Below are 25360 nucleotides of genomic sequence, written 5' to 3'. Positions count from 1 at the left end.
TTTGGAATTCTCTCTAGCTAGCTGATCTTTAGCTGCAGAGATCAAGAACCCCATCTAGTGGGAAAATATGAAGCTGCCACCGCAGTGACGGACTGAAATTAGCAGCGTGGTTGAAATTCTTGCCCAGCCCTTCTTGTGGAGCACAAGAAGGCCTCTGCAGAAGCCTCATTCAGAATCTCGAAACTATCAGCCTTTCAAACTGTGTGGGGCAGGAGGTGGGCAGTCAGAAAGATGCTTTGTGAGGGGAAGGAAAACAGCACCCATTCCCCTCTGCAGAGTAAAGGGAAGCCTGGCCCCAGGAAGGAGCAGCTGCCTGCAAGAGGGAGCCTGAGCCGTGGAGTCCTGGGAGCCTTTGAGGTGGGCAGCCAGGGCGTGGAGGCAGCAGCAAGCCCAAACGGTCAATACGGGCCCAGCTGGGGCCTGGCGGCGGAGGGTACCCTCAAAGAGCCCTGGCTCCTGAGGCCAGCGGGGCATTTGGGCCCTCAGCCAGTTAGGGGGTTTGTTCTTCCTTTTCCTAAGGCACGTCGCTGCCCAGTGGGAGTGGGTTCCTGTCCATAAGCCAGAAGCCCCACCATGTGGTGGAGGGAAAGGATGACTTTCCTTCTCATCCCCAGGTGTCATTGGACCCCCCTCCAGGGGGACCTCAGGGGATTGCATGAGCTGTGCTCTTCCTTCGTGAGCCTCCTGGCTCTGCAGGGGGCTGCCGGCTTTTACCTTACAGCTCTTCACTGAAATGTCACCTCCCTGTGGGGCTTCCTGCCACCACCATTGTTCTCTGCATGGCACCCTGTGGGCGTCCTTCATGATGCCTATCACACCATTTAAGATGTTTTCCTGTGCGTCGCTCTCCTCCCCTGCTGAGGGCAGGGGCCGTGCGTGTGTGCTATGTTGCTGACGTAGTCCTTCCTGCTGCAGTGCCTGGCACAGGGCAGGCGCTCCCTTGTCTCTGTAAAGAGATGAAGAGGCTTGGCTGAGCCCAAGGACTGGGAGGCAGGCTGCTGGCAAGGCCTGGGGAGACCTCTCCCTGGCTGGCCCTTGTTTCTTTTCCTTCCTCTCCACTAGAAGTAATCATAGGGGTCCAATTTGCCATGGGATTTTACGGAAATCACATGGGTCAAAGTGCTATGCAGATGCAAAGCGTCATCCAGTGCTGTTTCATTTCCATTTGCTTGGTTCCATGTGTTGGGGGAGGGTCCACCAGCACCCAGAGCCCAGGGACCCTATGATTCTGTCATATACAGAGTGGCAAACGTCAGACATAGGAGGCCCTTGCAGATCCCCTAATCCGGGGCTTCTCAAGCCCTCTCCATATGTGAGAATCAACTGAGCCGTTTTATTAGCCACAGACCCGTTCCTCCCTGCTGGAGGTTCTGATTTAATTGGTCTGTGAGGAGGATCAGGCATGGGTATTTTTAAACATCTCTCAGGTGATTGATTCTAATGTGCAACTAGGGTTGAAGACCTGGACCAAATCCACCCCTTCGTTGTTTTTTTTTGAGACACAGTCTTGCTCTGTTGCCCAGGCTGGAGTGCAATGGTGCGATATCAGCTCACTGCAACCTCTGCCTCCCGGGTTCAAGCGATTCTCCAGCCTCAGCCTCCCGAGTAGCTGGGATTACAGGCACCCGCCATCATGCCCGGCTAATTTTTGTGTTTTTGTAGAGATGGGGTTCCACTATGTTGGCCAGGCTCGTCTCGAACTCCTGACCTCAGGTGATCCACCCACCTCGGCCTCCCAAAGTACTGGGATTACAGGCATGAGCCACCATACCTGGCCTCACCCCTTGCGTTTAAAATGAGTCCACAGAGCCCTGGAGGATCACAGCAGCCACTGTCCCATGGTCAGCAGAGCCATGACTGGGACCCAGGCCCCTGCCCCTTCTCTCACAGGCACGGAGGGAGCTAGGCCACAGGCACCAAAGCGGGATTTGTCCTATAGCAGGACTGACTCTCACAGAGACTGTTCTCCTGTGTAGGAGATAAGAAAGGGGGTCCCCACCACACCTAGTCCAAGGTCTGAGAGCAATGTGTAGATGCTATGCAGATGCAGAACAGGAAATGGTGCAGCATCCACACCCCAGCAGAGTACCTGGGAGGGGGACACATGGTCAGTACCTGGGACTTCCCTGGGATGCCACCTCTCCCCTGGCCTGCCCCCACCTTTTGCAGCTGCAGCTGTTTTACTGCTTCCAGCAAGGGTAGGCAATCCTGAGGTTGATAGAAGCCTAGGGAAGTACTGTGAGCTTTGACACTGACCAGGGGATCAAAGCGGGCCACTGCAGGTTGAGGAACCTGGTTTGGTGATGGGTGCAGGCCAGACAGACACTGAGATAGAGAAACCCAGAGCTCTGGGCAATGTGAAAGGAAAATAAGTCTCAGGTTTCCCAAATCACTAAGCTAAAGGGAAAAGTCAAGCTGGGAACTGCTTAGGGCAAACCCACCTCCCATTCTATTCAAAGTTATCCCTCTGCTCACTGAGATAAATGTGTATTTGATTGCCTCCTTTGGAAGAGCTAATCAGAAACTGAAAAGAATGCAACCATTTGTCTCTTATCTACCAAAGACCTGGAAGCCCCCTCCCCACTGTGAGTCCTTTGCTTCAAGTTGTTCTGCCTTTCCAGATCAAACCAATGCTCATCTTACATATATTGATTGATGTCTCATGTCTCCCTAAAATGTATAAAACCAAGTTGTGCTCAGACCACCTTGGGCACATGTTATCAGGACCTCCTGAGGCTGTGTCATGGGCGTGCGTCCTTAACTTTGGCAAAATAAACTTCTTAAACTGATTGACAGCTGTCTCGGATATTCGAGGTTCACAGCAAGAAGAGATTTTATTTGCATTTCAGGGGACACAACAGGCTTGTTTTGTTCCACATGGACCGTAGCTGACAGATGAAGAAAGGGGTAAGGAATCCGTCAATACAAAAGTGAGTTTCCTGTGTTATCTCTGATTGAGGCAGGGATCTCAGATGTCCATTTATCAGAGGCTTTGGGTATCAAAGCTTGGGGGTGTTCCAAAATAGGTTAATTTTGGGTGCCTTTTATATATTTATATTATTTTTTATTTAAACAAATTTTAAAGTTTTATTTAGGTAAGAACATTTAACATGAGATTTACCCTTTCAATAATGTTTAAATGTACAACACAGTATTATCTACAGGCACAATATTGCACAGCATTGCTCTAGAACTTATTTGTCTTGTCTTCTATGAACCCCGAAAAGTTGAGACAGGTCTCAGTTAATTTAGAAAGTTTATTTTGCCAAGGTTGAGAACTTGCTCGTGACACAGCCTCAGGAAGTCCTGAGACATGTGCCCAAGGTGGTCAGAGCACAACTTGGTTTTATGCATTGAAGGAGACATGAGACGTCAATCAATATATGTTAGAAGTACATTGGTTCGGTCTGGAAAGGTGGGATAACTTGAAGCAAAGGCAGGAAGACTGGAAGCAGAGAGGGAGCTTCCAGGTCACAGATGGGTGATACATAAATGGTTATATTCTTTTGAGTTTCTCATTAGTCTTTCCAAAGGAGGCAATCAGATACGCACCTGTCTCAGTGAGCAGAGGAGTGACTTTGAATAGAATGGGAGGCAAGTTTGCCCTAAGCAGTTCCCAGCTTGAGTTTTCTTTAGTGATTTTGGGGGCCCAAGATATTCTCCTTTAACATTTCCCCCCTTTTTTAAAAAAATCTTTTGGAGAAAGCATTTTACAAGAAAATGAATCTCTGGTCTCAGGTTTCATCTGATCTCTCATAGCTAGGATGGTTTATTTCTAGATGGGTAGGTCTGGAAATCTCATTTTTAGCAGGTTATGAAGTCTCATGTCCTGTGAAGAGAAAATAGGAAGAGAAAGGGAGAAAAAACAGAAACAAAAGAACAATCCTGGAAAAAAAAATCGATATAGACCACATTACTCTGAAGTCCATATATTAATAGGCAGGTATGAAAGTGGCTTATGTATGTAAATAGGTTACTGTTATTTTCTTCTGAAGCTTAAGTTCTCTGGCTTCAGTTCACAGGGTTTTAAAAAAGCACAGCTTAGTTTTCAGTGATTCCAAATTAGGAAAAATGAAAAAGAGAAGGAAAAAAAATTGAAAACATTATTTTGAAGACTTGTAGCCAAGAAAAATTAGAATTTGGTCCAAACTGTAGAAAATAATAAAAATAGGAAAAAACATTAGGCAAGACTAGAATCTAGCAACAGGTGTACAATCATTTTGAAACAATTTTTTTCTCTCTCCAGTTTCCCATTTTACTAAAGACAAATCATGGTAAGACTGGTTTGCTTATTATACTTGGCCTAATTATTTGTATACATTGCAGTAAGAATAATTAGTTTTTACATAGGCTTTTAAATTGGCTTTGATGGGACTTTGTTCCATAGGAGGAATCTCAGATAAGACTTTTCTAAAGCCAGGCCCAGCCCTGGGTTGTGCCATCAAATACCCATGAGTTGGGTGAAATTTCCTTTTCTTTTGAGGTTCCAAGATAAATCTGGGGCTTCTACACCTGTCAGAAAGTGACATTCTTTACTTACCACAGGTCACAAACCCTGTATAGGGACTGTGTACACAAAATATGAGGCCAGTTTTTCCAAGGGCTTTATTGGCTCCATAAATCAAGTTTGATTCCTTAAAGGAAAGCACATCATTCCAGTCAAAGCCTTGGTAAAATAACCAGTTTCTCCAGTTGGGTCCTGTTACAAATGAAAACAGATTCTTATTGCACTTATGCAAATAATTGTATTGCCATAAGTTAAGAATACTCACAAGTAGTTTCCAATTCTGGAGAAATCAGGTAGAGAGAAACAAATATGCTCTAAATTTTGTTCATAAGAGTACACTAAATTGTTAAAAGCTGTCAATAGCTCAAAAGAAAGTTTTAAGACTCAGAAAAACAAAACAAAGGATCAGCAAACATATTAAGCAAAAAGTAAAAAAGATTGGTTAAGTCCATGCAGTTAATTCCTATTCTGCTTGATACTCATGAACATTTTAGCTCTCCATGAGTCCTGAAAGTTTTTCCTCTGTTCTGATGTCACAGTCTCCAAAGTTATCAGAAACCTGTATTCAAGAGCTCCTGTTGGAGATTTATAGTTGATTATAAAATCACCTTCTAAAGAGGACCAAAACAAGACAACAATTGTCCATTGATGAAAAAAAAGTTTTAAGGGAGCCATAGTTAAAAGACACAATTGACAAGGAAATTAGTTACCTCCATGGCACACAATTTTAATATAACAATTATGATTATTACTGATAATGTACACTAAGTTATATCAGAATTACAGGAGTTTCCCATAATTTTGGAACACATACCAATAATATATTTATACAAATACAGCCCAAAGAAAACCAAACACCATTTTGTATTTGACAATGCTTCCCGTATAATTTTTTATACCAAATAAGCCACATTATGTCATTTTTGAACTTTAGCGAACCTAATGCCTTAAAGGATTAATTAGGTTAGAAAAAGACATAATTCATAATTTGATTTTGGAAAGTTGGTCAAATATAAAAGGTTTAAAACACTTGATATTACAAAATAGGATTACAGGTCATTGTAAAGTCATTTATTTAACCAAAGTGATAATTCAAGGATTTCAAAAAAGCGAAAACCTTCATTCTTTGAGAGAGGAGACTTCATTTTCTAAACAAGGGGCCCTAGTATAAACAGCATGAAGCCAATTACATTAGTTTTTTAAAATTTTGTAAACAATCTTCATTATATAATATAACTTCCATAAGTCTTTTATAACCTTTATTAAGGAGTTGGTTAATGCTTTAAGAAAACCTTGTTAATCTGACACAGGGCTCCATATACTGGTTTTGCATCAATGTGCCTTTGACATTAATAATTAATTTGTAGAGAAACTGAACTTATTTTATCTTTCAAAATGGGCCCTTACAATCTTATGCGCCCACCTCTTCCCCCATAGTCCCTCAGTCTTGAGGAGTTGAATAGCTTTCATTTCTTGCCCTGTGTCTCAGGAATGCAGCTTATTTTGATTAGCATCTTCTATGGGGCCTGAAGATGAGGCTTTAATTGCTGTCAGTGTTTAAGATTTAGCAGGACTTGGTGTCCTTTTTGGACCCAGGAGTTAAAAGCTCTGTAACTCAATGTTATAAGGACTTTAAAAGCATATACAGGAAGATACATGGATGTAATGACCTTAATTTAAAAAATTTTTTAATCTCAATTCTTTTTCCTGAGCAAACCAAAACTTAATAACAATATGACAACTTGATTATATAAAAGTTTCAGGTTTTTAAAAAATATATAGATCCTCTTATTGTGGCTTACACTGACCGTTCATGACATTGTCGGACTTTCTGATTTGTTCTGAACATCCCTCCTTTTTAAACAACCAGTTACTTTATTTTAGAACTAAATTTACCATAGAAGATTCTTTCTTATATAACATTATTTTTCTTTAAGCTTTTTTACCTAAAAAAATTACCTCTTTATTTGTATTACTTTCTTTACATATTTTTTTAGTTCCTGGTTCCTTTTACCTTGTTTTATACATAACTCTGAAATAAGCTTTAAATTAGGCAAAACTTGTTCACTTTTTTTTTATAAAAAAGGACACACTTCTTTTTCTTCTTTCTTTTTTTTTTTTTAAGCAGAAATGTTTTCCCACAATATATATTTATTGGAAAACACCCAAATACTGAAATATCTATTAATTTAATTTAACTTTCTATTCTAAATTATGACCAGTTTGTCTACAAGTATTTATCCCATTACATTTACCTAATTACTTTATTTTAGTTGTTTATGTAGATTATTTATGAAAACTGTGATAGTCATGATTTAAAGTTCTGAAACTGCCATTGCAAAATTATAACTAAGACAGTAAAAAAAAGATTTCACCTAATTGGCTTCATCTTTCTCATAACTTCCAAGCTATCCTTGTTTATTCCTGGGCATAAGCTGAATTAACGTTGGGAGGAACTTAGTTTATAGTTTAGCTTTGACACAAAGGTGATAACAGTTCTTTCCCAAAACAAACCTACTTATTGTCTATGGACTAGGCTGCCTAAAGTCCCAGGATTAGAAGCTATGGTAATATTACTAAATTCAAGATGCAGCTATTTTCATTAAACCTGTATCAATGTCTTATTTATTAAATTACATAAGCGAAGATCATTTTGATTTGGGCTGGGTTTGTAGTTTTGTAATCCCTATGCCAAATTTTGACACCTTATAGTATTTGGCAGGGATAAGTATGAAATTGCCTGATTAATAAATGCAAACAAAAATGTATGCTGGCAATTCTTAAGACATTTCTAATATAACTTTACCAATAATTTTAAAGCTGGCTTATTTATTAAAGATTTTACTTAAGTTACATAAACTTGAAAAAGCATTTGACTAATCTTTTCTTTCTTATTATCTAATTTAAGTGGTTTTTTTTTGAGATGGAGTCTAACTCTGTCACCCAGGCTGGAGTGCAGTGGTGGGATCTCGGTTCACTGCAACCTCTGCCCCCCAGGTTCAAGCGATTCTCCTGCCTCAGCCTCCCAAGTAGTTGGGATTACAGGTGCTCACCACCATGCCCAGCTAATTTTTGTATTTTTAGTAGAGATGGAGTTTCACCATGTTGGCCAGGCTGGTCTCGAACTCCTGACCTCATGACCCGCCCACCTCAGCCTCCCAAAGTACTGAGATTACAAGTGTGAGCCACTGCACCTAGCCTTTTATTTTTCTTTAAGCCAATTAATTAGAGCTCTTTTATATATATTTAGTAATGAAACATTCTGTACCCAACACATAAATACATATAAAAACGTATTAGGCCTGCTGATGGAAGTACATTTTATAGATTCATAGAGTCCCCCACTTTTTTTAAACAGACACTTCTGAGTGTCTAAACTACATTCTTCCTTAAAAACCCAAGAGTGTCCTCTGTTGCAGAACTGTTTTAGTCAAAAAATCAGGTGGAAACAGAATTCATTCAACTGAGAAAAAAAAAACAAAAAAAAACCTTTGGCTCAAAAAAAAAGACAAGGTCTTAGGAGAGAAAAACAAAAAATCCCCCCAAAATACAAAGGCCTTTTAAATACAAACATGCATACACACACACACACACACACACACACACACACACACACACACACCTCCCTTCGATGTTAGCCTTTTAATTAAGCTGACTTTTAGCTATTGAGCTCCTTTAACAAAAAAAAAAAATTTTTTTTAATCTTATTACCATATTTCAGCTAGGACAAAATGCTGCTAAACTAACAATAATCACACAAATTATGATTTCTGAGCGGTCTAAGTGTAAGCAGAAATGAACACGAGCTGGTTGTTAATGCTAACTTGAGTAGTTTGAAAAGAATTTGCAAGACAGAATCCCAAACCAGTTTTTTACCTAGTGATGGGTCTCAGCTGTAGAATGGTCTCTACCATCCTAGAAGTGGGAAAAAACCTTCATCTTCCCTGTTGGAAGCAAGCTCAAACTCCATAAAGGAGTGACCTCCCTTCCATCGTCATGGAAGCAGGAAAACTTACTTTCCTGTTGGAAGCAAGTAAAACTCCAAAATAATAATAATAATGAGGAGTTTTACAGCAAAATAAACTTTAGATCTCAACCTAATTTTGGGAGAACAGGGATTCTCTGGAGGGGGTGCCCTCAGACCTCAGCAAATTGTCCTATTGGTTTGAGCCATAAAGTTAGCTCATGCTGGTACCAAGCATTGATAGGAGATTTGTCAAAGGTCAGGGGCATCTCCATTCAGAATCCCCCCATGGTTACCAAAATATGAACCCCGAAAATTCAAGACAGATCTCAGTTAATTTAGAAAGTTTATTTTGCCAAGGTTGAGGACGTGCTCGTGTCACAGCCTCAGGAAGTCCTGACGACATGTGCTGAAGGTGGTCAGGGCACAGCTTGGTTTTATACATTGAGGGAGACATGAGACATCAATCAGTATATCTAAGAAGTACATTGGTTTGGTCTGGAAAGGCGGGACAACTTGAAGCAAACTCAGGAAGACTGGAAGCAGGGAGGGAGCTTCTAGGTCACAGATGGGTGATATACAAGTGGTTACATTCTTTTGAGTTTCTGATTAGTCTTTCCAAAGGAGGCAAATCAGATATGCACCTATCTCAGTGAGCAGAGGAGTGACTTTGAATAGAATGGGAGGCAAGTTTGCCCTAAGCAGTTCCCAGCTTGAGTTTTCCTTCGTGATTTTGGGGGCCCAAGATATTTTCTTTCACACTTCTTACCAAAAAAGGGTCGCAATCCAGACCCCAAGAGAGGGTTCTTGGATCTCACACAACAAAGAAATCAAGGTGAATCCATACAGTAAAGTGAAAGCAAGTTTATTAGGAAAGTAAAGGAATAACAAAATGGCTAGTCCATAGGCAGAGCAGCTCTGAGGGCTGCTGGTTGCTCATTTTTATGGTGATTTCTTCATTATATGGTAAATAAGGGGTGGATTATTCATGCCTCCCCTTTTTAGACCATATAGGATAACTTCTTGATGTTGCCATGGCATTTGTAAACAAACTGTCATGGTGCTGGTGGGAGTGTAGCAGTGAGGATGACCAGAAGTCATTCTCGTCGCCATCTTGGTTTTGGTGGGTTTTAGCTGACCTCTTTGCTGCAGACTGTTTTATTAGCAAGGTCTTTGTGACCTGTATCTTGTGCCAACCTCCTATCTCATTCTGTGACTTAGAATGTCTCACTTCCTGGGAATGCAGCCCAGCAGGTCTCAGCCTCATTTTACCCAGCTCCTATTCAAGATGGAGTTGCTCTGGTCCAAATGCGTCTGACAGTATAACAAATTTTATACCTGTTGATTAGCAATTCTTCTTTTCCTCATCTCCCCAGCCCCTGGCAGCCATGATCCTATCCTTTGCTTCCATGAGTTTGACTATTTTATTTTATTTTTTTTGAGACAGAATCTCACTCATTGCCCAGGCTGGAGTACAGTGGCGTGATCTTGGCTGACTGCAACCTCCGCCTCCCAGGTTAAAGCAATTCTCCTGCCTCAGCCTCCTGAGTAGCTGGGACTACAGGTGTGCGCCACCATGCCCAGCTAATTTGTGTTTTTAGTAGAGACGGGGTTTCACCATGCTGGTCAGACTAGTCTCAAACTCCTGACCTCAAGCGACCCACCCACCTCGGCTTCCCAAAGTGTCAGGATTACAGGTGTGAACTACTGCACCCGGCCGGAGTTTGACTATTTTAGCCACCTCATAGAAGGGAAATCATACAGTATTTGTCCTTCTGTGACTGCCTTATTTCTCTTAGCATAATGTTTTTCAGGTTCATCCACATTGTTGCATGTTGCATGATTTCCTTATGTATATATATTTGACATATATATGTGTATATATATTCATTATCCATTTATCTGCCAATGGACATTTAGGTTGTTTCCACATTTTGGCTGTTGTGAATAGTGCTGCAGGGAACATGGGAGTGTGGAAATCTCTTCAGGATTCTGATTTCAATTCTTTTGGATAAATACCCAGAAGTAGCATTGCTGGATTGTATGGTTGTCCTATTTTTAATTTTTTGAGGAATCTCCATACTTTTTCCATAGAAGCTATACCATTTTGCATTTCCATCAACAGTATACGGGGTTCCAATTTCTCCACAACCTTGCCAACACCGATCGTCTTTGTTTTTTCTTTTCTTTTTTTCTTTTTTTTTGATAAAAGCCATCCTGAGAGATGTGAGGTGGTATCTCATTCTGGTTTTGATTTGTATTTTTCTGATGATGAGTGACATCTTTTCAGATACCCATTGGTCATATGCATGTCTTCTTTTGACTAATGTCTATCCAGGTTCTTTGCCCATTTTAAAATTAGGTTATTAGGTTTTTTTGTTTTTGTTTTTGGCTATTGAGTTGTAAGAAATGAAAGATTTTAACCTACACGCAAATGTGCAGTACAAGATAACTGTAGTGTTCACAGAAAATCACAGGATTTCTAAAACTGTGAAGTCATAATATGTCACAGCAGTGGGTGCTGATAACAGGCCACAACTTTAAAGTTGTGTAGTAGGCATCTTTCCATTTTGTAGGTGTAGCTCTATGAGTGAATCCTGGCATTTGGGGATCCTCTGCCCCTCCTCCTCGCCAGGGCCTGCCCTCAGCTCATGGACATTCTAGAAGAATGGGGGACAGAAAGTAGCATGGAAAGGAGGGCCCTGGAAGTGCTAGGGTGCTGAGGACAGCACTGATGACACAAACCCTCCTGCCTCTACACCATAGAACACCATGTAGCCACTTAGAGAGAAGCTGAAGAATGGTAGACAGTAATCTGAAATAAAGCACATCCATGGCACATTTGTAAGTAACAGAAGCCAGTTTCAAAACCAAACCCTGTGCATTGTGGGTCTTTTTGGAGAAGGCATATATACATATGCCAGAACATGAAATCAAGATGAAAAATCCATGAACCCACTGTGGGATGATGTGATTTTTAGTTTTCTGGCTTTCCTAAAACTTCCAGAGTTTTTACAATGGATACATACTAGTTTTGTAATCAGATAAAAGTGTGTTATTTTAAAATGCTAATATGAAAGAAAGAGGAAAGGAGGAGGAAGGAAAAAGGGGAGGAAAGAGAAAGGGAAGGGCCCCCTTTCTGTTGTGCTTGGTTGGCTGGTTTCCATCTGTCCTGGGGCTCCAGAGAGTGGGAGACAAAAGGACGGAGAGGCAGGGAGTGGTGCTGGGTCTGGAGCCAGCGTGGGGACAGAGTGGGATATATAGAGTCCTCCAACAGCCCCTTCAGGGAGGGACAGCATAGACTGGGGCAGTCTGTACTCCCAGTGGCCTCATCACAGCCCTGTTTGAGAGTGACAGGACCTGGGAACCCACAGACAGATGCAGACTGTGACTTGGGAGTGACTGCTGGGCATCCCAGGGTTGCACAGACCCCACATCTCCGAGGCTGTGCAGAGTTCAACTCCCTCGCTGATGATCTCCATCTTTGGTTATTAGTTATGAAGCATTGTCTAGAAATGTGTCATAGTGTGCAATTTTGGTTAATCTATATAAACATATGTACTGTTTATCAATATAAATAATTTGCATAATTTGTTTAATTTCCACATGCACTCTCTTTAGTTTTCAGGATAACAAAGAGTTGCACAGACACATAGATCTGCGACACACACACAAACACACAAACACACACAGCTCCTCTTCCTTATGGGGCCAGGTACTTGACTTTTGCTACTCCCATTCCTCTCCTCTCCAGCTGTCACAACATGTCCCTGAGGGGTCACCTTGTCCCCAAGAAGCCCTCAAAGGAGAAGCAGGGACAGCAGAAACTGGACAGCAAGTTTTATGAGAGCTGGGCCACAGCCTTGCTCACAGCTATATTCCCGGTGCTTGGCATCTTGGTGCTTGTTGAATCTTTGCTGATGAATGACCCAATGCGTGAATGCATCCTCAGCACCTCTGGCTTCTCAGGGCCTCGCGCCAGGCTCCTGGGGGTCCTGGCCCTGGGCGGGTTACCCTCCTGGTGTCACTTTTTCCTTCTTCAGGGCTGGGGAAGAATTGTCTTTGTGTGCTCTTTTCTCACTAGGAGTGGTCCTCTTCCTTTGTGGATTCCAAACTCCAGGATGCCTAAGAATCATTTGGGGAGTTTGTCCCACACCCCGGTGAGCTCTGGGACCTGCTTTATAGTGAGGTGGCTCTGAAGTATATAGCCCCTCCCATGGGGGCTGCACTTTAGAGCTTAACTTTTTTTGATAGCACTTAGACGGGAGCTGTCCAAATCCTTCTCTGCCACGACTAAAAGACTCAGAATCTGATTTGCTCCATAGCCATTTGTTGAGCCTTACGGTTCTGTCTTGACAAAGACGAGTCAGAGTCACTGGGGTTCTCTGGAGGACTCAGCCAGCCTAGGTTTTAGATTCAAGTTGACCTGGGTTCACCTTGCTTCTTATTTTGGGGGTGGGTTGGGGGTTATCTGTGTCTTCCTACCAGTGGAACAAAACTCTAACATGCAGGTGGTTGTGAGCATTACAGAGATAATCTAAGTGAAGTGCCTAGCACCGACCAGCTCAGCAACGGGAGCACAGTGTGGTGGGGCAGGGGGTTGATCTCACAACCTGGGTTGTGGGGTCGCCCAGTGGGAGGCCTGGGGGAGACCAGAGGGTGGGCAAGGGGAAGTGGGAAGTTTGCGGATGGATGGGACTCTTAACTCTCACCCGTGACCTTGGCCCCTAGGGGTGGAGGTCACGCCCTGCAAATGCTAATCTCGGGTTTACCCTCATCAGCTGCCGGCCTGCTGGACTCTTCTGTCGCCTGTGTGACCAGTGCCCTGAATTACAGTCTCCAGTTTTTAATATACAAGTTGTTTCTATTTTTTTGGTTAGATCCTGACTGATACAGAGAGGAAATGCCACAGAATGAAAGAAGTGAGAGGAACTGCCTCTGACCAGGCCAGGGTAGGAGATGAAGGCAGATTGAAGGCAGATGCCTCTTGGAATCTTGCCAAGCCAGGGTGGGGGAGGAATCTAGGAAGAAGAAAGAAGAAATTGTTGGGTTAAGGATCACTAGAGGAGTTTTCTTTTTCTTTTATTTCTTTTTTTTTTTTGGGACAGGGTCTTGCTCTGTTGCCCAGGCTGGAGTGCAGTAGTGTGATCATAGCTCATTGCAGCCTCGGATTCCTGGGCTCAAGCAATCTTCTTGCTACAGTCTACTGAGTAGCTGGGACTACAGGCGCCTGCCACCATGACTGGTCAATTAAAAACATTAAAAAAAATAGATGGGATCTCTCTGTGTTGCCCAGGCTGGTCTCAAACTCCTGGCCTCAAGCAATCCTCCCAGATCCTCCCATCTAGGCCTCCCAAAGCACTGGGATTATAGGCGTGAACCACTGTGCCCTGCCAAGGGGGTGAGGAATTAAGCAAAGGCTCGGAGGTCTGTGGCTGCCCAGGGAGTATCAGATCCATCTTAGCACCTTCTCTCATTCTCTCCACCTGGTCTCTCTCCAGGCTCCTGGCTGCTCTACTCAGCCTCAGTTGTAGCCGCAGCTGCACTGAGAACCTCTTGTACTCTCACAGTTCCACTGCCAGGCTGAGCAGCTGTGGGCAGTCTGGTTCCTCCCTCCTCTGACAGCCACAGGTGCAGCTCCAGAGCCGGCCCTGAAAACTGGCTCCCAAGAGGCCTCCCGAGGGTTCAAGAGGTTGGGTGAGCTTTGCCCAGGGCAGGCAAGGGGTGGGAGAGGAGGGCAGCGCCTTCAGTGCTCTGATGACTGCATGTGTACCTGGCATGGAGTCAGTCATTCACAAGGCCTAGGGCCTTTGGACTCTCAATCTTACCCCGCTGCGGCTGGTGGCTCCATCCAGGTCAGGAGGGAAGGCCGGGAGGTGTTACTGCAGGCAGACCAATCTCTGAGGCCATCAGACTTGTAACCTGATGTGCTGAAAGAGTTTCTTGTCCTCTTAAGGTGGCACCACAAAAGACCCCTTCCCTCTTTCTAGGTGGATTTGGTCCTGTTCATAAGAAAAGGGAGGCAAATACCCTAAGCAGTCACAGAAATTGCTCTGGGGTAGAGAATGTGCTCATATCCTCTCAGCTGGAGCTGGGCCCAGCAGGTTTTTGATGCTGGTGATCAAATTAACCTCAGACAGGAGGAATTTCCTGCCTTGCTTGTTTGTTTAATAAAAGAACAAGAATTGGAAAACAGTTAAGTTGGAGAAATGAGTATATGTTCATTCTTGCCTATTAACCATCATAAATCCCAAAGGATTTAGAGTTTGTAGGAAGATCACTGACTCTACACTCTGTAACGGCCCCTTTGCCGAGAGGTATCTGTCCACAGCAGTTGAGTATCAGATGGGATGGTGGCTCCCCAAACCACACCAAAACAGCTTGGTGTTAAGGCAAAGCCAAGTTCATTACATACCCCAGTAAAGGGGATTCTGAGACTGAGGAGTGCCTCAGAAAAGAGGGCAAATGTGGTGGTCATTGAATATGTTGAACCCTGAGTGAGTGAGTTTTTGATGTGGGGGTGGATTAGAATTGGGAAAGTTTGGGACATATTAGGGTCAGGGGACACAGGGAGGTGAGGATTTGGGCTAGATTGCTGCTATTTTTGGTCCTGAGAAGGCAGGTAAATGGACTTAGATTTTCAGGAAATTCTGCAAAGAAACCATAAATTACCTACAAGCTCACCTTCCCAAGGGAGTTTCTGGGAGCAGTGGTGTTGGTGGATGGTGGGTGGAAGGAACATGGTGTGAGCGTGCACAGGATGCTGCAGGTGTGCGGATGCCTGCTCTCCTGAGGGCTGGTGTAGAGGACCCCAGGAAGGCTTCCCTGGCTTTTGTCCCCTGTCCTCAAGATAGCTTCTGTCGTTTGTAAAACTCCATGTTGCTCAGCACAGGCCCTTTGGAGTCAGTTTCCAGATGTCTGGTATCACAGAGCCCCCTCTTCTGTCTCATTTTTCTCTTGGACACACGGTGGCACAGAGTTCGAGATGCAGGAGGCAAAAGGTTGACAGCCACTGGGGAGGCCCATGTGCATCAGACCTCAGTGCACACAGAACAGTGCTCAGACCAAGGGAAGGCACCCGGGCACCCACACCTTTCCTGGGGCCCATTGGGGCTGTGCTGCAGGCCAGGCTGACCCAGCCCCAGGGCTCCCAGAGTGTTTCTGAAATTGCCAACTTTAATTAAAAAATATATATTTAATAAATAAAAAAATTAAAAATAGTACATGTTCAGTAGAGAAAATTTTTTATAGTTTTTAAAATTGTGATAAAATATACATAACTAAAATTCACAATTTTAACCATCTTTAGGTGTAAAATGAGTGGCATTAAGTACATTCACAATGTTGTGCAAACATCACTTCCCACCTCTAGAACTTCCCCATTCCCTCAAACAGAAACTCTGTGCCTATTAAATAGCAACTCCCCGTCCTCCCCTCTCCCAGCTCTTGGTAACCACATTCTATTTCCCTTCTCTATGAATCTGACTACTCTAGGTGTTACTGGAAAGGGGTACCAATCCAGATCTCAAGAGAGGGTTCTTGGATCTTGTGCAAGAAAGAATTCACGGTGAGTCCGTATAGTAAAGTGAAAGTAAGTTTATTAAGAAAGTAGAGGAATAAAGGAATGGCTACTCCACAGACAGAGCAGCCCTGAAAGCTGCTGGTTGCCCATTTTTATGGTTATTTCTTGATTGTATGCCAAACAAGGGGTGGATTATTCATGCCTCCCCTTTGTAGACCATATAGTATAACTTCCTGATGTTGCCATGGCATTTGTAAACTGTCATGGCGCTGGTGAGGGTGTAGCAGTGAGGACGACCAGTGGTCACTCTCATCATCATCTTGGTTTTGGTTTGGGTTTTAGCCTGCTTCTTTACTGCAAGCTGTTTTATCAGCAAGGTCTTTATGACCTGTATCTTGTGTCAATCTCCTATCTCATCCTGTGACTTAAAATGCCTTAACCTCCTGGGAACGTGGCCCAGCAGGTCTCAGCGTCATTTTACCCAGCCCCTATTCAAGATGGAGTTGCTCTAGTCCAGATGCCTCTGACATTTTCCCTGCTTTTTAAATAACAAAACCCTTAATCCTAAGGGTTGCAGAGGGATGAAGATCCATCATTTTCTGTTACTTCTTTGGGCTGAGTAGGGGCGATGATATTCCCAAGTCTCTTGTGTTCAGGATAGAGAGGAGCTTAGAAAGCATAAGTATGTTGAGGGACACTCATAACTCTGAGTTCCAACAAAAGGTGATATCCAGAAGATGAATAAGTGTTTAATTTAAGAAAACATTCGGTAAGCTTATCCTGCTTTTTTTTTTTTGTTTTTGAGACGGAGTCTGTCTGTCACCAGGCTGGATTGCAGTGGCGCGATCCTGGCTCACTGCAACCTCTGACTCCCCAGTTCAAGTGATTCTCCTGCCTCAGCCTCCTGAGTAGCTAGGATTACGCCACCACGTCAAGCTAATTTTTGTATTTTTAGTAGAGCTGAGGTTTCACGATATTGGCCAGGATAGTCTCGATCTCCTGACCTTGTGATCTGCCCGCCTCGGCCTCCCAAAGTGCTGGGATTACAGGCGTGAGCCACCGCGCCCGGCCGCTTATCCTGCATTTCTACACAAAGAGTACAACAATATATTCCACAACAGTAAAGCAAAATAAGCAAAATTATCTCAAGTTAACTAAATTAGAAGGCTTTCCATGAACTGGGCAACTATTGGAACCAAGCTGATATGGGGTTGCTAGATGATTCCAATACATGCTCAGGATTAGAATATTGATCCAGATTTTTATATTACCCATCCCTCTTGTTTCTTCTAAGCAGCAGCCAGAGATCACTGGTTGCTTCATAGGAATAAGCAGGGCTAGTCTAAATTACAGGAAAAAAACTCAAAAATAACTGATGAGACTAAAGTTTAATAACAAATGTACCATAGTTCTTGAAACATAATTTTTCTCTCTCTAGTTTCCCATTTTTCACTAAAGACAAATCATGGTAAGACTGATTTGGTTTATTATACTTGGCTTGATTATTTGTATAAAGTGCAGCAAGAATAATTATTTTTCACATAAGCTCTTTTTAAATTGGCTTTGATGGAACTCTGTTCCATAAGAAGGAATCTTAGATAAGACTTTTTTAGAGCCGAGCCATGGATTTGTACCCTCAAATACCTATGAGTTGAGTAACTTCCTCTCCTCTTGAGGTTCCCAGATAACTTGGGGCTCTTAGGCCTTTTCCCAGATAACTTGGTGGGGTCCTAGGCCTGTTAGAAAGTGACATTCTTTACTTACCACAGGTCAGGAAACCTGTACAGGGACTGTGTAGACAAGGTGTGAGGCCAGTTTTCCCAAGGGGCTTTTATTGGATCTATAAGTCAAGTTTAATTCCTTAAAGGAAAACACACCATTCCAGTCAAAGCCTTGGTAAAAATAACCAGTTTTTCCAATTGTGTCCTATTGCAAAAGAAACAGATTCTTATTGCACTATGTTGCCTTAAGATACTCACAAATAGTTTCCAAATTCTGGAGGAATCAGGTAGAGAGAAACAAATATGCTCCAAATTTTGTTCACAGGAGTATAATTTACTTAATTGTCAAAAGCTGTAAATAGCTTAAGTTTCCTTGACTTTGAAAAACAAAACAAAGGATCAGCACGGTTTTAAGCGAAAAGTCAAAAAAGATTACTTCAATGTTTAATTTACAGAAAAACTGAATGCTCCTTTAGCTTTAGCTAATATGTTGGCACATGGAATCTCTTTTACAATTAATTGTTCACAAACCTTCTACAACTTGTTCAAACCTTTGGCTTTATCCTAACTCAAAACAACACTTTAACCCTTTAATCTAGGCAAAAAAAATCCACATTTCCTTGACTGTTTATATATATATATATATATTTTTTTTTTACCAAAAACACATTTCACTTTCCTTACATGCCTTACACATAGAACTGTTTCTTTAGTAGTCTTAACTATATGTTACAATGTTAACTCTTAGTGACTTTTACTTTTGGTGAAAACCTTGGTAAGTTCAGGGGTTTAATTATGTACTAGTGTGGAGCCTAGGACCCAGTCAGAAGTGCAGATAAGGTCTGATTCTTTCCGTTGTCTAACTCCATGTGTCCCAGGCCTTACCAAGCTGTACATTTAAGAGTCATAGTGGTGTTTTTTTGAAGCATTTAGGAGGCCTAATCACCTTTAAATTGTACATTTCTTGCATAAATCCCCTTTATAAATTCTTTTACAATGTACACAGACCATCTACAACCTGCTTTGACTTTCTGACTTGTCCTAAACATCCCTCTTTTTAAACAACCAGTCATTTTACTTTAGGACAAGAATTTACCATACAAAATCCTTTCTTATATAAAATCTCTTTTCTTTATAACCTTCTTTGCATAGATAGGGGGCACGCTAATTTCACATGTTCCCAGGCCTTATCTAGAATCTAATGCTCCAAAATAAATTGAACAATTTTCAAAAGTCAAAGAAGCAGTTTATGACCTTAAAGCATTTAGCAAACTTAATATCTGACTGCATAATTTAGACCAAATGTCTTTGTTTTACCAATAATCTTTAAGGCTGTTTTTATTTCCCAAAGATTACTAAAGTCATGTGAACTAAAAGGCATTACACTTTTTACTTTTCTGAAAAAATATTTTATTTAAGCACTTATTTTTAAACCAATTAATCAAAGCTCTTTCATATCACACACACAACACATACAAATACACAGACATTCAGCAGGTAAAGGACTCATTCCATAAGCCAGGAATTGAACCCTGAACCCGGGCTGCCATTGTGAAAAGAGAAAGCAAGGCCACATGGTTCCCAAGGACATAGAAGACAGGAGGGAAACCCCATCCAGTTTATTTTTTTCATGCATCTGCAGCAAAGTTTATAACTGACCAGTTTACTAGGCCATCTTGAAGAGTAGGCTTATGGGTTCTAAGGCCATGTTCTATCCTAAGGTACCCCTCTTTATGACAGAACAATACAGAAAGACACACAAAGCACACCAGATTCACTACAGCTTAAGACTAGGCTCACAAATCCTTTTTTCTATTAACCAAAACTTTATAGAGGAGATAAACAATGATTTTTGTCGTGCGTTCAACTGGTTTGCACAGAGAAAGAAAGGAAAGGGAAGGGAGAAAAGCATTGTCTGTGGCAGGGTGGGGAAGGCGAGGCACTCAGGGAAGCCAGAGAAAGACATGCCCATTGTGGCCGACACTGAATCAAAATTTCAGGTGATCCCTTGTCAGTCATGAAGGGATCTTCAGGCGGTCCCTTGTCGGTCATGAAGGGATCTTTTCCAGCCATCCCATCAGCTCTCAAGTTTCCTTTTTCAGGGAGGAAAAAGCCCCCTAAGTCCCATGATCCTGTACATGCCTAATTCTGTCACCGGCAGCTGCCAGCATGAGGTATTGCTCCTCATACTTGAGGGCATTAGCTGCGGGGGTCTGCCTGCAGACCCTGACCCAAATGACAGATGAATAAAACGTACACTGACACACAGATATTCTGTTTTGCCAGTCCAGCTGAGTGTCTGACTGCCTGCACAGCAAGAGAGGTTTGTCACTGCGGCTGGCCCTGAGCAGCTCACACTCCAGGCATTTATTTGGTATACAATTAACAACAGAAGCTTTGAGTAAAGACACTTGCGGATAATTAACATGGTTAAGAGAGTAGTTCTAGGCATGATTAAAGCTCAGGTACCCCAGTCTAAAGTAAATACCATTAGGGGGCAGTATGCCTGGTCGACATCCACCTGAGAGGGTCATCTAGCTCAAAGGTTAGTTAATGGAGGTAGGGTAAACAGACTTAACTGGGGAAGCCTCTATTGTCCCTAGTATTTACCCTATGACCTAATGCTCCAAAGTAAGAACTGGCTGCCTTCAGTCTCTTCAGTTATTACAAGCTATGTAACCTTTCGGCCTTCCAAAAGGTTTGTGACTATTTCCTATAACTTTCCCTAATATTTCCCTTTAATATTTCTTCCACCATCCTGAGTGAATCACAACATCAGCAAAGAGTGCAAGGCAGATTAATCCAAAGAGAATAGCAGTTAACATCCCATAGTGCCAAATCTGTTCTTAGCCGAGAGGGACTTTACTGAGAGGGGTCTCTAACCCCCTAAATCTTAGGAAGGACTCTAACCTTCCTATGCTGAGTCTCAAACCCAAGTTCAGTCAAGCGTCCTTGCCTTTTATTGAGTGGGGCCTTTAGCCCATTCTGTCTTAGGAGAGACTTTAACTCCCCTAAGTTGGGCCTGTAACCCAATCCCATCCTTTACCCAGGTATATGCACCCCACTTACCCAAAGTTGGCCCATCAGTGCTGCCGTCTATTTCCTTGAGGTTGGGGTTCTCCTCAGTGTCATCCCTTGCATGGTTCAACAGAAAGATATTACTGGAATGCAGTCTCAATCCAGATCCCAAGAGAAGGTTCTTGGATCTCGCACAAGAGAGAATTCAGGGCAAGTCATAGAGTAAAGTGAATGCAAGCTTCTTAAGAAAGTAAAGAAAGGAAGAATGGCTACTCCATAGGCAGAGCAGCCCCAAGGGCTGCTAGTTGCCCATTTTTATGGTTATTTCTTGATGATATGCTAAACAAGGGGTGGATTATTCATGCCTCCCCTTTTTAGACCATAACTTCCTGACATTGCCATGGCATTTGTAAACTCTCATGGTGCTGATGGGAGTGTAGCAGTGAGGACGACCAGAGGTGATTCTTGTTGCCATCTTGGTGTTGGTAGGTTTTGGCTGGCTTCTTTCCTGCAAGCTGTTTTATCAGCAAGGTCTTTATGACCTGTATCTTGTGCCGACCTCCTATCTCATCCTGTGACTTAGAATGACTAACTCTCTGGGAATGCAGCCCATTAGGTCTCAGCCTCATTTTACCCAGCCCCTATTCAAGATGGAGTTGCTCTGGTTCATACACCTCTGACAGGTACCTAGAATGAGTGGAATAATACAGCATTTGTTCTTTTGTGCCTGGCTCATTTCACTTAATGTAATGTTTTCAATACGTATAGTTTTTTAAAAATGTAAATTTTATACTATATTGTCTTATAGGCATATAAATTGTTTAAATTATTAACATATTTCAAAATTTGAGGAAGTAATATATTGGACACCCAAGACCCCCACCACCTAGATTTCATGGAAGGTAACACTTTGCAGTGTTTGCCTCATAATTATTTTCATAAAGTTTTCAGAGTCAGGTTCCACTGACTAATAAGCCAGTCTTCCTTGTGGTTCACACACAGAGAAGCAGGGTAGTAGAGAGGATAAAAAGGGACCCTGAGCTGCCTGCCTGAACTCAAATCCAGCTTCCCTACTAGCTGTATGGCTATGGACAAGTTACACAATCTTTCTGTGAATCCATTTCCCTTCTGAAAAATGGGAATGGTCATACTAATATCTACCTCCTCGTTGCTATCATCAGGATTGAGTGAGTCGGTAAATTGCCTAGACTGAGGCTGGTTGTTATTCCTTCTTGGTTGTTATTCCTTCAAGATGTGGCTACAACTTCTCTGTGGCCCTTTCCATTTCTTCCGCCTTGTCTCGTATTTTTTTATTTTTATTTTTTTAAGACACAGTCTTGCTCTGTGGTCCAGGCTGGAGTGCAGTGGTGTGATCACAGCTCACTGTAGCCTTGTCCTCCCTGGCTCAAGTAATCCTCCTGCCTGAGCTTCCTGAGTAGCTGGGACTATAGGCGCCTGCCACCACGCCCAGCTCTTTTTGTATTTCTTTTCTGTAGAGAAGGGTTTCATCATGTTACACAGGCTAGTCTTGAACTCCTTGGCTCAAAGAATCCACCTGCCTTGGCATCCCAGAGTGCTGGGATTATAAGCGTGAGCCACTGCACCAGGCCCTTCTCTCATCTTTTAAAATTCCTCAGACACCTGGCCCTTGACCACTATTGAATTCTTCATTTGTCAGAAATAATCAGGTGTGGCATTGGCCTTGGTCCATCAAAAAGAACTGGCAACCATCTCCCCCAGTCTTGGGCAAGAACCTCCCCTGGTAATTCACTCCCATCGTCCCTGGCCCTCAGTCCTTGGGTAGCCACTTCCCAGCCCAGGACAACGCAGGCAGCACTCTCAGAAGTTATTTTGGACCTGGTGAGGGGCTTCCTTTTTGCCTAGCACCTTCCATTTGTGAATACATCCTGTTTGCAAATAAAGCATCACAGAACCCTGGATGCATGTGGACAATTTAACAAATGGAGCTGAAGGTAATGCTTTTTAAATTTGTAGGTAAATTCTGGAATGTTTTAACTTCAAGGAAATAATTTTAATATGCCCTCCTGCGTCTCTGTCTCATCCCCAGCTCATTAAAGATAGAGTTTTGCCTGAATGTAACTAATTTTAAATGTTATTCTTAATAGAATAGGTGCTTTATAAGCCATTTAAATGGCAGTCAACAGATTAGAGGGAAATGCTTATTTTACTTCAGTGTCAAAACAAATACACCTCAATGCATTTCATTGGCACTGCTGTTCATATAAAATGCTAATTATAAATAATTTCATATTAAAGACAAAAACTAAGGCAAGTGGCACCAGTTTTGGCATATGGTAGGTGCTCAATGCATGTTAAACAAAATAGTGGCAATGCCTTTGCCACAACTTTTAAGATGTGAATATACATCCACCCGGCCACACACGTAGGCACACAGGCACATGAAATTTGCATACATTCACTAATTCTGACAGGCTTCCTCTCCATCTTGGTGCACCTGTTATTGTAATGGCGTGGATTGTCCTTGCTTTGCTATTCACACGGAGCAGGACCAGGGCTGATCCTGCAGACGTGCTGCCCCCTGGTGCATTTGAGAAGACTCGCATGGTCAGCCAAATGAGAGAAAACAGTCACCATATTAAGAGCTCAGTTAGCTGTTGTCATTGCATTTATTTAATGACCTGATAGATGAAGAGAAAACTGTGAAGGAGACAGAGAAGGAACAGTCCAAGGAAAACCCTCACAGAGCCCAGGGCAGTGATGAGCACAGAGTAGCTCCCAGCAAATATTTGCTGATTGATTAAAAGGATAAGCCTAGGTGCTGTAGATGTTGATTCGTAGACACTGGGGGGTGGAGCTTGGTGCTGGCATCCACAGTGACCTGAGTGATTCTTCACAAGCACTGAGAATCATGCTGAGTCTTGAATTTTTTTAATATTCACTTTCAGCAATTGATTAATCCACCCAGCACTGTTAGAGAGGTGTGTGGCTTCTCTCCATCAGCTTTTTGAGTTACAGCATTGAAAGGGCCAGCCATTTTCCACTCAAAGGGAGTTTAAAAGTGTAGGGATAAAATATACATTCTCGACAAGCATAATCTATGCCCTAAAATCCTCAACTGAACCAGGCACCAATATTTGATGTGAAGTAGCAGTTTCACTCAAGTTCCTTCCAAGAAGAAGAAAATAACATGCTTTGCTGAAAGGGGCAAACTAGGGAGCTGAGAATTTAGTGGGAAGATAATGCAATTATAGGTCAGGATAGACACGTTTGCCAATCTTCCTGCAAACCTTGAAAGATTTATGACCTATAGCTATACCTGTTCCTAATTTACTTGTCACAGATAAGACTGGCACCTTCGCCCAGCAGAGAGGCTGTTAATGAATGGAGAGGCAAGGCAGGCTGCTAGCAGGTACTGTACCTTTAGAGCTCTGAAACGATCTTTAGGCCCTTTTTCCAGCTAAGACTTGAGAAGAAAAACACTAGTAAACCTTACATAGAGGGCTTGCTTACAGAGTAAATGTAACAAGTTTCTTTGATGTGTGACCAAAAGGAAAAAAAAATTCATTTAACCCTCAGAAAAAATAAAGGAAGACCCTGCATTAAAGCCACTCTGTGTGTTATGGGGACAACGAGGTTTAATTTAAGAATTAGGGTTTGTATGAAGGAACAAGAGCTGGGGGAGTGAAACCAGCTGGAAGGTCATGGAAGCAGCTGGAAGGTCAGACCGAATACCTAAGTGGGTGGTTCTCTAACATTTGCCAGGAAACTGCTGCGAAAATTTTCAAGAAACTCTGGAAAACCTCCTACCAAACCTGGTGCTTGATAAGAAGCCTAGATGCCACTGTGAACCTTGTGTCTGCTGTGGCCCCCATGACCTGAGGAGGATTGCCTCTCTTCACTGTCTTCCAAAGCTTAGGCAAATTTCTCTCATTGGAAAATTGAGCTCAACCTGTAAAAGGCAGGAGATTCCAGGAAAGGAAGATTCAGTGAGAAGCAGATGAAAGTGATGAAAAGCTGACAACTAACAACGTAGCACAACCTGAAAGCACCTAAATTCCTACATTTACCTCCTCATTATGTAACCGCCCAGTGGATTCACCTTGTCCGCAGCCTAGACAGCCGATTTATCAAGACAGGGGAATTGCAATAGAGAGATAGTAATTCACACAGAGCTGGCTGTGCAGGAGACCTGAGTTTTATTATTACTCAAATCAGTCTCCCCGGAAACTTGGGGATCAGGGTTTTTAAGGATAATTTGGTGGGTCGGCCAGTGAATCTGGAGTGCTGATTGGTTGGCCCGGGGATGAAATTGTAGGGAGTCGAAGCTGTTCTCTTATACTGAGTCAGTTCCTGGGTGGGGCCACAGAACTGGTTGGCAGGTTCAGGTGGGGTTATTCAGTTGTTAGAAATGCAAAAACTGGAAAAGACATCTCAAAAGGTGGATCCTAGGTTCACAATAGTGATGTTACCTTCAAGAGTAAGTGGGGAAGTTGCAAATCTTATAACCTCCGGAATAATGGCTGGTAATATTTAGAATTCCAGCCCCTCTTATTCTAACTTGGTGGCTGGTAGCTTTTCATTTGTTTTACGGGGACAGTTTAGCTTTAAACTATAAACTAAATTCCTTCCGAAGGCTAGTTCAGACT

At 42.7% G+C, this 25360-nt stretch overlaps 1 protein-coding gene across 2 annotated transcripts in view, besides 2 other annotated features; it reads left to right on the top strand.

Moving 5' to 3' along the window:
- Positions 1-25360, top strand: part of C13orf42 (chromosome 13 open reading frame 42) — a 90270-nt gene that overhangs the window by 23164 nt on the left and 41746 nt on the right. The window lies entirely within an intron of this gene.
- Positions 66-957: an enhancer, noted in NCBI's record as "OCT4-NANOG-H3K27ac-H3K4me1 hESC enhancer chr13:51722404-51723295 (GRCh37/hg19 assembly coordinates)". NCBI's record gives its function as "activates a minimal SCP1, AML or CMV promoter by ChIP-STARR-seq in primed H9 embryonic stem cells {active_cell/tissue: H9 hESC(primed)}" and the evidence as "EXISTENCE:reporter gene assay evidence [ECO:0000049][PMID:30033119]".
- Positions 23338-23387: a silencer, noted in NCBI's record as "silent region_5364". NCBI's record gives its function as "represses an Ori minimal core promoter by ATAC-STARR-seq in GM12878 lymphoblastoid cells {active_cell/tissue: GM12878}" and the evidence as "EXISTENCE:reporter gene assay evidence [ECO:0000049][PMID:35858748]".

Source organism: Homo sapiens, chromosome 13, assembly GCF_000001405.40.
Source record: "Homo sapiens chromosome 13, GRCh38.p14 Primary Assembly".
NCBI classification, from domain to species: domain Eukaryota; kingdom Metazoa; phylum Chordata; class Mammalia; order Primates; family Hominidae; genus Homo; species Homo sapiens.
Note: the sequence above shows the minus strand (reverse complement) of the source record. Positions and strands in the feature narration are given on the sequence as shown.